The sequence below is a fragment of the Homo sapiens genome, chromosome 12 (genome assembly GCF_000001405.40).
Source record: "Homo sapiens chromosome 12, GRCh38.p14 Primary Assembly".
NCBI lineage: Eukaryota > Metazoa > Chordata > Mammalia > Primates > Hominidae > Homo > Homo sapiens.
Window position 1 is genome coordinate 108,415,925 of NC_000012.12, and position 15,575 is coordinate 108,431,499.

The 15,575-nt window shown below is 45.8% G+C and overlaps 1 annotated feature.

Annotated features, from left to right (window-relative positions):
• Window positions 1,866-3,065: an enhancer, noted in NCBI's record as "P300/CBP strongly-dependent group 1 enhancer chr12:108811567-108812766 (GRCh37/hg19 assembly coordinates)". NCBI's record gives its function as "activates an origin of replication core promoter dependent on BRD2, BRD4, P300/CBP, MED14 and CDK7 cofactors, with strong dependence on P300/CBP, by STARR-seq in HCT116 cells {active_cell/tissue: HCT116}" and the evidence as "EXISTENCE:reporter gene assay evidence [ECO:0000049][PMID:35650434]".

The window sequence follows — 15,575 nt, forward strand, 5'->3', positions numbered from 1 at the left end:
GGCCTTTGTAATCCCAGCTACTCGGGAGGCTGAGGCAGGATAATTGCTTGAACCCAGGAAACAGAAGTTGCAGTGAGCCAAGATCGTGCCACTGCACTCCATCCTGGGCAACAGAGTGAGACTCCATCTCAAAAAAAAAAAAAAAAGATACAGAATAAGGAATCTACGCTTTGTAGCCAGTCTCATATCTCTATCTGCATACCTTATCCCCAAACTCTTTACCTCATCTTCCAATATTTCTCCAGGCCCTTGAGCAATCAGCCAAATCATTCACCACTTTCCAGAAGTTCATGTCTGTATTAGGCTATTCCTGCATTGCTATAAAGAAATACCTGGCCGGGCATGGTAGCTCACACCTGTAATCCCAACAGTTTGGGGCACCAAGGCGTGCAGATTACCTTTGGTCAGGAGTTCGAGACCAGCCTGGCCAACATGGTGAAACCTCGTCTCTACTAAAAATGCAAAAATTAGTCAGCCGTGGTAGCACGCACCTGTAATCCCAGATACTCAGGAGGCTGAGGCAGGAGAATCGCTTGAACCCAGGAGGCAGAGGTTGCAGTGAGCCAAGATCACACCATTGCACTCCAGCCTGGGCAACAAGAGCAAAACTTGAAAGAAAGAAAAGCAAGAAAGCAAGAAAGCAAGAAAGCAAGAAAGCAAGAAAGCAAGAAAGAGAAAGAAAGAAAGAAAGAAAGAAAGAAAGAAAGAAAGAAAGAAAGAAAGAAAGAAAGAAAGAAAGAAAGGAAGGAAGGAAGGAAGGAAGGAAGGAAGGAAGAAAGGAAAGAAAGAAAGAAAGAAAGAAAGAAAGAAAGAAAGAAAGAAAGAAAGAAAGAAAGAGAAAGAAAGAGAGAGAAAGGAAGGAAGGAAGGAGAAAGAAAGAGAGAGAGAAAGGAAGGAAGGAAGGAAGGAAGGAAGGAAGGAAGGAAGGAAGGAAGGAAGGAAGGAAGGAAGGGAGGAAGGAAGGGAGGGAGGGAGAGAGAGACCTGAGACTGGGTAATTTATTAAGAAAAGATTTTCCATTGACTCACAGTTCCACAGTCTTTAAAGAAAGGCAACAGCATCTGCTCAGCTTCTGGTGAACCCTCAAAGAGCTTTCACTCATGGTGCAAGGTGAAGCAGGAGCAGGCATATCACATGGCAAAAGCAGGAGCAGGAGGCAGGGAGGTGCCACACACTTTTACACAACCAGATCTCATACGAACTCAGAGTGAGAGCTCACTTACCATTAAGGGGGTGGCACAAGCCATTCATGAGGAATCCACCCCATGACCCAAACACCTTCCACCAGGCCCCACCTCCAACATTGGAGATTATATTTCTATTTCTTTTTCTTTTTTCTTTTCTTTTCCTTTTCTTTTGAGACAGGGTCTCATTCTGTCACCCAGGCTGGAGTACAGTGGCACAATCATGGCTCGCTGCAGCCTCAACCTCCCAGCCTCAATTTATCCTGCCTCCTGAGTAGCTGGGGCTACAGGTATGTGCCATCATGCCCTGCTAATTTTTGTATTTTTTGTAGAGATGAAGTTTCACCATGTTGCCCAGGCTGGTCTCGAACTCCTGGGCTAAAGCAATATAATGCCAAAGTGCTGGGATTATAAGTGTGAGCCACCATGCCCAGCCAGGAGATTACATTTCAACATGAGATTTGGGTGGGGACAAATATCCAAACTGTGTCAATGTTTATCCTTAACTTGGGCCATTTCTCTCTCTACACAAAGTGAATGGCTTGGAAGGTGCTCAGAGATTGAGACGATCTCCCCTCACCAGTCCTTCAGGGCCAACTCCAAGTGTGCCTGTAGTGCTGCCACAGTCCATTTTTGGCTTACAGCCACAGACTGGGTCAAGCAAGCTTATTCCTCTTCCACCAGCTGGAAACCCCTCCATGTGTCATAAGTGAGAGTCAAGAGAGTGGCCCTGGGTGCTTGTGTTCCCTGGACCTGCTTGAGCCCAGTCCAATAGATACCACCTCCAATTTACAACAAACTGCTGCTGGGCCCACCTGACCTTATGCCTTTATAGGCCTCACAGTGCCCAGCTCTTGATGAGACTAGCAGCTTCCAACTACATGGTTACTTGATATCACACAATCAGACACTCGGTTGTCACCAGAGCCCAGTAGCAAGCCCAGAGCTGCTTTTCAGATGGTATATACTGTTGGGTGCTTTAGATGGTGTGTTTGTTTCCCAGAGCTGCCATAACAAATTATCACCAACTGGGTGGCTTAAAACAACAGAAAACTTATTCCTCACAGTTCTGGAGGCCAGAAGTCCAAAGTCAAGGTGTTCACAGGGTTGGTTCCTTCTGAGGCTCTCAGGGAGAAACCATCCCATGCCTCTCTCCCAGCTTCTGGTGTTGCTGGCAATTCTTGGTGTTTCTTGTCTTCTAGACACATTGCTCCAGTCTCCGCCTCTGTCTTCATATGGCATTCTCTCCCTGTGAGTAAGTATGCCTCCAGATCTCCCTCTCCTTATAAGGACACAAGTCATCCTATTTAGGGTGCACCCTAATACAGGATGACCTTATTTTAACTTGATTACATCTGCAAAGACATTATTTCCATATAAGGTCACATTCATAGGTACCAGGAGTTAGGACTTCAACACATCTTTTTGAGACACAATTCCACCAACTATAGATAGCATGGCCATATACCAAAACCCCAGCATCCTTCTCTACCAAAAATCCCCCTAGTTCCATGATGTTTGCTAAGTCATATGCTCAAGCAATAGGGCTGCTTGTACAGCAGCTTGGATCTGCTCCAGAGCCCTTTTCTGCTCTTGGCTGAACTCAAAAACTAGCAGCCTTCCCTGTCATTCGATAAAAGTGTTGGAGAAGTATTTTCAAGTGCAAAGTATTCTGTCTTCAAAACCCAAAAAGGCCCACCAAGCATTGTGCTTCTTTTTATTTGGTGGAAGGTGCAAAGTGCAATAACTTGTCCTTACCTTAACAGGGGATGTGCTGGCAGATCATTGGACCCTTGAAAACTTCACTAACATGGCAAGCTTCTGAATCTTAATAGGTTTTCTCTCCTATCTTCTGGACGAAATTTGACTTACCAAGGCATTCAGGGTACTTCCCATTCCTTTTTTGTATTTTAATCTTTTTAAATTTGATTTTCTTAATTGGCCCACAATAATTATATATACCTATGAGGTACATAGTGATGTTGTGATACATATAAAGTATAGTGGGCCAAGCACCATGGCTCATGCCTGTAATCTCAGCACTTTGGGAGGCTGAAGCAGGAGGACTGCTTACGTTCAGGAGTTCAAGACCAGCCTGAGCAACATAGCAACACTTTTTCTCTACTAAAAATTAAAAAAAAAAAAAAATGGCCATGCATGGTGACATGCACTTGTAGTCCCAGCTACTTGAGAGACTGAGATGGGAGGATCACTTGAGTCTGGGAGATCAAAGCTGCAGTGAGCTGTGATCATGCCACTGCACTTCAGCTGTGATCACTCCAGGGCACTCCAGCGTAGGCAACAAAGTAAGACCCTGTCTCAAAAAAATAAAAATATAGTGATTAAATCAGGATACTTAGAAATATCATCACCTCAGACATTTATCATTTCTTTGTGTTGGAATATTCAGTATCCTCCTTCTAGCTATTTGAAACTATATACTTATTATTATTATTATTATTATTATTATTACTATTAGGGACAGGTCTTTCTCTGTCACCCAGGCTAGACAGAAGTGGCATGATCATAGCTCACTGTAAACTTGTACTGCTGAGCTCAAGTGATCCTTCCACCTCAGGCTACCAAGTAGCTGGGTCTACAGGCATGTACCACCCACACTCAGGTAATTTAATTTTTTTGTAGAGACAGAGTCTTGCTATGTTGCTCAGGCTGGTCTCAAACTCCTGGCCTCAAGAGATCCCCCTGCCTCAGCCTCCCAAGGCACTGGGATTACAGTCATAAGCCACCACGCCTGGCCCTGAAACTATGTAATATATTTCTGTTAACTACAGTCATTTGCAGCAACATGGATGGAACCGGAAGGCATTATGTTAAGTGAAATGCAGGTTCTCACTTATATGTGAAACCTAAAAAGAGTTAATCTCATAGAAGTAAAAAGTAGAACAGAGGATACTAGAGGCAGGGCAGAGTAAGGGGACAGGGGCAGAAAAGGAAAGATTTGTTAAAGGATACAAAACTACAGCTAGATGGAAGGAATGTGTTCTAATACTTTATAGCACACGTAGGATGACTCAGCACTTTCTGCTCATCAGGTCTAATTAACACGATGTCACTAAGGTGGTGGAGCAATGTGATGTCCTGCAGACTTTCTAGGGGATCCAGGTCCCTTCAGACTATATTGAGCAAAGAACTGGAGAATTAACATGGCCCTGAGGAAAGACCATGAATTTATCTGTTATTTGTCCCATGTAAATGAAGACTGCTTCTGATGCTCATTCTTGACAGGTATTGAAAAGGACACATTCACTAGATCAGTAGCTGTACATCTCACATCAGAGGCTGTGCTGCTCTGCTCTGGAAAAGATACTGCTACTAGCATAGCAGTGAGATCACGGCTGCTACTTGATTGCATTTGAGATAGTCCACTGTCATCCGCCATGATCTGCCTGGTTTTTGCAGGGGTTGATTAATTTAAAAAGAAGCAATGGGCGGCCAGCCGCCCCGTCCGGGAGGGAGTTGGGGGGCAGCCCCCACCCCGGCCAGCCGCCCCATCCGGGAGGGAGGTGGGGGGCAGCCCCCGCCCAGCCATTGCCCCGTCTGGGAGGTGGGGGGCGCCTCGGCCCAGCTGCCCCGTCTGGGAAGTGAGGAGCCCCTCTGCCCGGCCGCCACCCCGTCTGGGAGGTGTACCCAACAGCTCATTGAGAACAGGCCATGATGACGATGGCGCTTTGTCGAATATTAAAGGGGGAAATGTGGGGAAAAGAAAGAGAGATCAGATTGTTACTGTGTCTGTGTAGAAAGAAGTAGACATGGGAGACTCCATTTTGTTCTGTACTAAGAGAAATTCTTCTGCCTTGGGATGCTGTTAATCTATAACCTTACCCCCAACCCCGTGCTCTCTGAAACATGTGCTGTGTCCACTCAGGGTTAAATGGATTAAGGGCGGTGCAAGATGTGCTTTGTTAAACAGATGCTTGAAGGCAGCATGCTCTTTAAGAGTCATCACCACTCCCTAATCTCAAGTACCCAGGGACACAAACACTGCGGAAGGCCGCAGGGTCCTCTGCCTAGGAAAACCAGAGACCCTTGTTCACATGTTTATCTGCTGACCTTCCCTCCACTATTGTCCTATGACCCTGCCAAATCCCCCTCTCCGAGAAACACCCAAGAATGATCAATAAATACTAAAAAAATAAAATAAAATAAAATAAAAATAAATAAAAAATAAAATAAATAAATAAAAAGAAGCAATGGGACCAAACCTGTGTATCATAGAAATCCTTGAGGGTGAAGCTCATCTCCATTTTTCCTCCAGGATGTAATATTGTTTTTTATTTACTATCTTGGCTGCGGCTGGAAGGGAGTAGTCTCAAGGACTTCCACTGGGCCTTTCCTACTACAATAGCTGTTACTTCTTAGGTCAAAGAACCAACAATTAAAAGTCATACCAACAATTAAGTATGTCTATTCTAACTGTGCATTTGGAAACAAGAATGACCAATAGCTAGTCTGTAGAATATCACATGGGTCAATTTCCCAGACAAACTGCAGGAGATGAACCTAGTGTAGGGCTCCATGTATCATATTAGTTGGCCTTCATGTGCCACCACTCTAACAGGAGCCACGACGGTGCTTTGGCTCTTTGGATATTAGCATCAACCCATACCCTATGTCCAACAGTCCTCAACATCCCTGTATTAATTTTCTGTTGCTGCCAAAACAAATTACCACAAACTTGGTGGCTTAGAATGGTACCCACTTATTATCTCACAGTCCTGTAAATCAGAAGTCTGGTTATAGCATGACCCAATGGGTCCTCTGCTTAGAGTCTCACAAGGCTGAAATCAAGGTGTTGGCCTGGATCCCTTTCTGAAGGCTCTGGGGATGAATCTGCCACCAAGCTTATTCAGGTTGATGGCTGAATTTGGTTCCTTGTAGTTGCAGGACTGAGGTCTCATTACCTTGCTGGATGTTAGTCTTCAATCGTAGAAGCTGCTCACATTTTTTTCTCATGCCTTGATGTAGCCCCCTCTAGCAAGGACAGTTTGAGTCCCTCTCAGCTTTGAATCTCTCTGACGTCCCTTCTGCCTTCTCTCCTGCCTCCATCTGGAGAAAGTACTCTACTTTTCAAGGTTCCTGTGATTAGTTCAAACCCACTTGGATTATCCAGGATCATCTTTCTATCTTAAAATCTGTAATCTTAATTATAGCTACCATGTCTCTTTTTCTATATGTAATATATTGAGAGTGTTATAGTTTATTTCATGTTGCCATAACAGAGTATTAAAGACTGGGTAATTTTTTTTTTTTTTTTTTTTTTTTGAGATGGAGTCTCGCTCTGTCGCCCAGGCTGGAGTGCAGTGGCACGATCTCAGCTCACTGCAAGCTCCGCCTCCCGGGTTCACGCCATTCTCCTGCCTCAGCCTCCCAAGTATCTGGGACTACAGGCACCCACCACCACGCCCAGCTAATTTTTTTGTATTTTTAGTAGAGATGGGGTTTCACAGTGTTAGCCAGGATGGTCTCAATCTCCTGACCTCGTGATCTGCCTGCCTCGGCCTCCCAAAGTGCTGGGATTACAGGCATTAGCCACCACACCCGGCCAAGACTGGATAATTTTTAAAGAAAATAAGTTTCTTTGGCTCACAGTTCTAGAAGCTGGAAAGTCCAAAAGCATGGCACCAGCATCTGGCAAGAATCCTCTCATAGTGGAGAGGAGGAAGGCAGAAGCCCAAGCATGAGACAGCAAATATATAGGGGTCCAATTTATCCCTTTATCAGGAGCCCACTGCCACAATAATTAACCCAACTCCTCAATAATGGCATTAATCCATTCATGAAGGCAGAGCTCTCATGACTTAATCACCTCTTAAAATCTCCGCTTCCCAATACCATCACATTGGCAATTAAAGATCAACATGAGTTTTGGCAGGGCCATTCAAATCATAGCATACAGGATCCAGGGATCAGGGAATGGACATCCTTGGCAGTCCATTATTCTGCCTACCACACACCAGTATACAGGACCCTGAATAAGTGGTCATAAATCTTTTGGGAAGAACTAGGGGAACAACTACTGTACACACTTCCACTAGGCCTTTCCTACTACAATTGCTTACTCCACAGGTCAAAGAATCAACAATCGAGAGTCCATTAAGAGTACACACTGCCATGGTGTTACAAGGTCCTTTCTCATGGGGACTCTGTCCTCCCCCTTGGTCAATGGGTTCTAAGTTTGAGAACTGGTTCAATTATAGAAACTGGGTAAGGGATCACGGCTTTCCTTGGGGATACCTGACTTCATCCTTCTGCTCATCCATTCCTGATCTTCTTTGACTATACATATTAAGTAACAGCCTGTTAGCAACTTATCTATCCTTCCCAGGAATTCCATGCTCCATTAGCCATCTCCATGGATCCCAGAAGATAAGGCTGCCCTGACTGCCATTCTGACTTGCTGCCCGTGACAGTAACAATGCCCTACTTGCCTGATGGGTAAGTGTTGCCACCTGGCTTCTGCTACTCCACGATCCCATCATTCTCATGGCTACTAGGATACCAGTTCTGTTGCAGCATCTCTACCAGCACCACCCTCAGAGCACAGCCACTACATAGCTTCCCAGTGATGCTGGTGCCTCCCTCATGGACACATTCCTTACAGCCTTGGTAAAAGGAGTGCCTACCAGGCCTTCCCAGTGAGTCTCGTCAGCAGATGGCTTTTTTCTTTTTTCTTTTTTGAGATGGAGTCTTGCTCTGTCACCCAGGCTGGAGTGCAGCGGCACAGTCTGGGCTCACTGCAACCTCCACCTCCTAGATTCAAGCAATTCTCCTGCCTCAGCCTCCAGAGTAGCTGAGAATGCAGGTGCACCACTATACCCAGCTAATTTTTATATTTCTAATAGAGATGAGTTCACCATGTTAACCAGGCTGGTCTCTAACTCCTGACCTCAGGTGATCCACCCCTCTCGGCCTCCCAGAGTGCTGGGATTACAGGCGTGAGCCACCGCATCCTGCCTTACCATATATAGTAGATCCACTTGATCATTCCCATTACTCTGAGCTTTTTGATCCTTCAGTTTGCCATCCCTACTTCACTCAATGTGAGTCATTTTTCCAAGCACCCCAGCAGCATATCAGGACTGGCACCTGAGGCACTTAACAGGATGTTGAATCTTATTTAACAGGAAGGGAAGAATGCCCCATAATGACTCATTATCTTTTACCCAGCTTTCTATCCTCCTTGATCCAGCACCTTCAGGATCTACCCCGAGGCATGTCTCCATATTCCAGGTCCTGCAAACCCTTTAGAGTTTATCATCTCTCTTCCTTCAGCAGATCCAGCATTTTCCTGATCAAGCCACGCTGGGACTTAACTCTTCTTATTGGTCTGATGTCCAGGTGGGGAAGGGAGGGAATATTATAAGTAGAGAAAGCATTGTCTTGTAGGCTAATTTGAGGTTTCTGCATAATTTTCAAGCAAAGGAAGGCCACTGTCTTCTAACAAAGGGGAGTGGGTTGTTTCTGCAGGCTTGAAGGGTTCAGGAAAATCAGGAGATTTGAGGTCCTCAAGCTCATCTACCCAAATACCTTCATCCCAATTCTCAAGCTCTCACTCCCTCCCTATCAGGGTACCGACCTTGGGAAAGCTGACAATTTTGCTTTCTTTGAAGTTCAGTAACTTTTACAACAGAGTCCTGTACATGGTCTTCCACTTGGTTTGCCTTCCAGCTACAGAAGATGAGGGTCTCTTTAAAATGTTCCCAAGGAGTCTCCCTGACTCTCACATTTGACTTTAAATTATAATGGATAGATGTGAGTTATTGTTTTCCCTGTCCAGTGGATTCAGTGATTCATGAAAACTCATCAACAGCCGCTCAATTTTATAACTCTCACAGTTGTTATTTCCCCATGTCGTTTAAAACCCAGAGACACCGAACAAGTTATTGCATTCTCTTGCACCATAGTCCAGACCAGTTCATTACAAGTGAAAGTAAATTACAGGTGAACATGCAATTGTCCTGAGACACCATGCCAGGGCCCATCCATATTCCACCTACCACCAGTGATGGGTTCTTCATTGCCTTTAAGCCAGTAGGTGCTCCAACTCCACAGTCCCATGTTTAGGATCTGGGTTTTGGTTTGGTTTTTGTTTTGTTTTGTTTTGTTTTGTTTTGTTTTGTTTTGTTTTGTTTTGTTTGAGGCAGGGTCTTGCTCCATCACCCAGGCAGGAGTGCAGTGCTGCAATCATGGCTCATTGCAGCCTTGACCTTGTGGGCTCAAGTGATCCTCCCACCTCATTTTTTAAATTTTTGTAGAGATGAGATTTCATTATGTTTCCCAGACTGGTCTCTAACTCCTGGGCTCAAGCATTTGTCCTGCCTTGGCCTCCCAAACTGCTAGGGATCTTAGAAGCAGAACCTGAGCCAGGCATTTGCCCAAGGGATTTGTGAAGAGAGTGCTCACAGGACAAACAGACTCAGGGAGGCAGCAGAGGGCACTGGGAGGTGGGGCAACTAAACAAAAGATGTGGTCTCAGCTGGAGTCCAGCCTCAGCCTGATCCCACATGGAGCCCTGAAACATAAGTGGCACTACACATTAGGTCCCACCTTGAGGCAAGGGGACCAGCATTTTGCTCCTCATATCAGTCAGCCATGGGCTGCAGGCTGCCTCTTTGAAAGAGGGTAGCCTCCTGGGGAGAGGCAGCTCTCATGCAACAAAGGCAATTCAGTGGAACAGGGGTAGCTCTGAGCCATCAGCCACCAACACAGCAGTTGAAGATGGGTATATCAGGGGAGGTAATGAAAGGGGTATGCCACAAAAAGAAGTGGGAAGTGGGGATAGATATTTTAAGCAGAAGAATCATACCCTATAAAATTATGCAGACTTTTACTATTTAAAAAGTATTTTTCAAAATCAGGCACAGTGGCAAGTGCCTGTAATCCCAGCTACTCAGGAGGCTGAGGCAGGAGGATCACTTCAGCCTAGGGATTTGAGAACAGCATGTGCAACATAGCGAGACCCGATCTTAAATTTAAAAAAAAAAAAAAGTATATTGAAATTCACAAAAATAAAATTCATGGAGTTAGAATAGGCATTATTATGACACACAATAGCACGGATGAATCTCAAAATAACTATGATTGGTAAAAGAAGGCAAACCAAAAAAGCACATACTGTATCATTCCATTTACATACAATTCTATAGAATGAAAACTTGTCAATAGTGGCAAAAAGCAAATCTGTGTTTCCTTGGGAGGAGGTGGGACAGCGGGGTGCAGGAGAGATGACAAGAGGGTTCAAGGACACCTCTTCAGTGATGGATGGGCTCACTATCCCGAGTGTGCTGGTGGCTTCAGAGGTATACACATGTGTCAAAATTCATGAATCATATACTTTAAATATGGGCAATAAAACCTATGTCAATTATGCCCCCAATAAAGCTGGAAAAGGGGTTTAAAGAAAGGGCGCTTTGTGCAAGGACTGCCTTGAGACTTGGAAAAAAAAGTTGTAAAAGAGCCAGAGCAGGCACCACAACTGTACATAGAGATAGGGAAACCGAGGCTCAGAATATGTAATTGACCTCAGGTTACACAGCTGGGAAAAGGCACAGCCAGCACTCTAATCCAGGCCCCTTGGCTCCAAGTTCAGTGCTCTTACCAGATGCCAGAATTAAACAACATGGTTAGCTGGGACCCTCCCTCCTCCTGGTCATGGCCAGTGGTTGCAAATAACAAAATCAGTGTAAGTCAAAGAGGAATTGACTGGCTCAAGTGAACCTATTGTAGCAAGGGCAGGGGTAGAGCTGGCTTCAGGGATGTCCAGCACCAGGGAGTAGCAACTGAGCATTGGTCAGCTGCTACTCCTCTCTCTCTCCACCTTTCATCTTTGACTCTCTCTGCACATCGGCTGCATTCTTTCAGACTGGCTTTTTCCATGAGGCTCACAGCATGGCCACTGGCAGCTCCTGAGTGCACAGCCCCTCAACTCTGTGATCATAGAGGCTAGACTCTTTTAGGCCTCCGTAGATCCCCCAATTGCAAGGGAAGAGCTCTGATTAGCTAGCTTGAATCACATGCCCACTTCCAGCCAGTCACTGGTGAGGATGGAAGAATATGGCTGCCCTCTTGTCAACTCCATATTAGTTGGTGGAGTCAGGGGTGCAGACACCACGTGCAAAGAACCACACAAAGCTAACATACCCAGATAAGGCTGTATCCCACCTGGTCACAGAACCACTGAACTGTCTGCTCTAGTGATATCTCACTAGGTAGAGGGTCCCAGGACCTTGTGGAAGGTGGAAGAGAAAGCACTCAGAATACAGGCACTGGAAGGCTCTAAGACAAGCTTGCTCAATGCTAGACTTTTGCCTGAACAGCCATCCTTCAGCACTAGGTCAGTTTGGGTCCTCTGAGAAGCACATGCCAAGAAAGGATTTCATTGATTGAAGGAAACATCCATCAAGGGAAAGGGGAGAGGAGGCAGGTACAGGCAGGAGAGTCTTCGAACCAAACCAAACTCTGGGTCTAACGTCTGTGAAAGCAGAGAGGGGAGCAAGGATTGGACTGGTAGAGAATTGGACTCGGAGAGTTCTGAGACAGTCTCAGCCAGAGAAAAATGGGGAGTTCCCAAGCAAAGGTTGCCCATCAAAGGGTGTGGTGGGCTGAGAAAGGCTCCCCAAAAATATCCACGTCAAATACCTGGAACTGGGCTGTGCACGGTGGCTCACGCCTGTAATCCCAGCACTTTGGGAGGCTGAGGCAGGTGGATCACAAGGTCAAGAGATGGAGACCAGCCTGGCCAACATGGTGAAACCCCGTCTCTACTAAAAATATTAAAAAATTAGCCAGGCGTGGTGGTGGGTGCCTGTAGTCCCAGCGACTCGGGAGACTAGGGCAGGTGAATCACTTGAACCCGGGAGGCGGAGGTTGCAGTGAGCTGAGATCGCGCCACTGCACTCCAGCCTGGCGAGACAGCAAGACTCCGTCTCAAAAAAAAAAAAAAAAAAAAAAAAAAAAAGGAATCCCTGGAACCTTAAATGTTACCTTATTTGGAAAAGGCGTCTTGGAAGATGGGATTAAGGACCTTGAGATGGTGAGATTATCCTGGATTATCCGAATGATCCCTAAATCCATTCCAAGTGTTCTTATAAGAGAAAGGTAGAGAGGGGTTCAAGACAGACAGAAGAGAAGACACCAAGAGAAGAGGAGAAGGCAATGTGAAAACAGAGGCACAGACTGGAGTTACGCAGCCACAAGGCTGACAGCCATCAGAGGTGGAAAGAAGCAAGGAAGGCTTCTCCCCCAGAGCCTCGGAGTGCAGCCAACACCTTGATTTTGAACTTCTGCCTTCCAAAATTGGTAGGGAATACATTTGTGTGTGTATGTTAAACCACCAGTTTGTGGCAACTTGTTATAGCAGCCACAGAAAACTAATATAGAGGGGTCCCATGTTGGGCAGGACTGGCCGACCTCTATTACCCCGAAGTGCTGAGTCTTTGGCCGAGAGCATTTGGGAGAAGCACAGCTAGACCTGAACATTTGGGAGAAGCACAGCCAGACCTGGAGCCACCGATGCAGCAGCAAAAGGCAGTCAGTTGGCTGCCTTTGAGGGGGATCTGAGCGGCACACCTTTGGGGCCACCAAGAACCCAGCACCTACTATGCATCGACTATGTCTAGCACACAGTAGACACTCAGAAACTATTGTTAGATGTTGGCTGCAGAATGGATGAATGTTCTGTTTGGGTTCTCAAGGTAAAATCAGTGGATGAGAAGTACAGGGACATGGATTTCAACTTGGCATAATAATCATAGCCAACATTAGACAGAAACTACTATGTGCTATGCACACGTACCAAGACACATGTATCTATGTATATGTTGATGTATGTGTATGTGTGTATACAAACACATGTAGGTATATATGCACACAAACACACAGTCAAATAAGCTTAGACTTCATTTAAAATTTACAACAATCGTTTGAGGTAAGTTTTATTAGCCCCTTTGAGGAAACTGAGTATTTGCTAGGTGCCAGGTGCCTTGTTAAGACATTTCTCAGTACTTGCTCATTTAAATTACCTGACAAGTCTACAGGAAAGGTAGCATATTCTTTCCTTGTATTTTTAATTTTGAGACAGGGTCTTGCTCTGTTGCCCAGGCTGGAGTGCAGTGGCATGATCATGGCTCACTGCAGCCTCAAACTCCCAGGCCCAAGTGATCCTCCCACCTCAACCTCCCGAGTAGCTGCGACCACCGATGCACACCACCACACCTGGCTAATTTTTAAAAATTTCTGTAGACACAGGATCTCACTAGGTTACCCAGGTTGTCACCTGCATTGGTCTCCCAAAGTGCTGGAATAAAAGGAGTGAGACACTGCACCTGGTCACATTATTCTTATTTTATAAAGAAACAAAGCAATTATTTTATAAATAAATAAGACTCGAGGTCACACAGCTAGGTCAACCCAGTTCCGCCTCCAAAGCCCTGCTCCTAATCACGACTTCGTCCTGCCTCCCATGCACATGCGATGATTCTGTTCCAGGACTCCACAGGCCATAAGCCCACAGATACACCAAAAGGCATTGTGATTTTTTTTTTCCTTTTGCTGCCTGTGGTGTCTGAGATGGAAAGTATGCCAGCCCCTGCTTGGAGCAACCGCAGAAGCTCCAGAAGAATGCCCCCACCTTGCTCCTCTCAGGTTCTCTGTCTCAGACGTGGCGCCATCATTGACACTGTCCTCCCAAGCTAGTGTGTTCTGACAACTTGCTGGTAATGGGACGCCAGCGGCAAATTATTAGCCTCCTCCATCCCCACCGCACGCAGCCAGGCTTGGCTTGTTGCTGCCGAATGCCCGATACATGTCAGCTCTGTTTGGAAATTGGATCCAGTCTGGAAATTCACTCGATCACAGTGGGGATCTGAAGGGAACAGTTGAAACTCCCACCTGGATTCCTGCAACTGTCCTTCCTTGGGGCTTTGAAGGGGTCCCAGGCACAGTGAGGTGGGTTTCAGGCTTGAGAGGCTTCGCCCTGGAGGGAGGGCTGAAGGTCAGAGAAGGCAGAACTGAAGGAAGGAAGGTAGCTGGCATCCTGGGCCAGCCTCACCTGCACCACTGCTTGCCGTGTGACCTTGGGCAAGTCATTCACCTGCCCTGGGCAATGTAGTGTGGACCAGATGCTCAGACTGGTGTCAGACAAACACAGGAGGGAATTCAAGCTTGAACACCACCAGATGGATGACCTTGGGCAAGTTCTTTAACCTTTATAAGTCTCAGGTTATTCATCCATGAAATGGATATAAATAATAGCCCTTATTCATAGGGTGACTTTGAGCGTACTACGAGAAGGCATGCAATATGTTTGGCACAGTGCCCAGCACGTAGGAAGTGCTCCATCAATACAGCTGTTCTTAGTGAGATGAAATGGCTCACGCCTGTAATCTCAGCTGAGACAGGAGTATCGCTTGAGCCCAGGAGTTCAAGACCAGCCTGGCCAACATAGGGAAACTCTGTCTCTACAAAAAAAAAATTAAAAATTAGCCGGGTGTGGTGATGTACATATGTAGTCCCAACTACTCAGGAGGCTGAGGTGGGAGGATCTCTTGAGCCCCGGAGGCTGAGGCTACAGTGAGCCATGACTGCACCATTGCACTCCAGCCTGAGCAACAAAGCAGGACTGTCTCTAATAATAAACAAAAAGTTAAAAGTTAAAAAATACAACTATTCTTACCTGCATCACCATCACTAACTGTACTGGCATACATCTAATCCACCTGGCACACCCACTCCAGCGAATCACTCACATGGAGCATGAAATTTGGAACCGGGATCTAGTCAAGTGTGGCCTCCACCACAGTCTGATATGAAATGATTCATTTATTCATTCACCTCCACTTATTGAGTGAATGCAATCAGTTGTCACATATCTAGAATAATATGTGACACCACCACTTATTGAAGGCTTAATAAAGAGAAGACAAATAAAGATAACTATGACCCATCATCTGCCCTTGAGAAGTTCTCAACTCTCAGTTTTCCCATCTGTGAAATGGGCACAGAGATTCTGCATTGCCTACAGGCTTGTTGTGCAGATCTAATAGGATAACTAGCATTCCACACACATTACACATTTAATCCTTCTGGCAACGCCATAGTGTAGGTATAACTTTCCTCCCCATTTTATACATAAGAAATCTGAGCCTAAGAGAGGTAAAGTGGATTTTCAAAGGTTGAACAGCTGGAAACAGGAGGAGTGGGAGTGAAACCCAGGCATTCTGGCTCCAGAGCCCATGCTTTTGGACACTCCAAGCTGAAATGAACCATAAACAGAGGCCAACATTTTCTTTTCTGGAATTTCTCAGCATCCTTCCAGCCTAGCCTGCCTATTTTGGTCAAGTCAGCAGACAAAAAGACTCTGGTGGGTGCTTG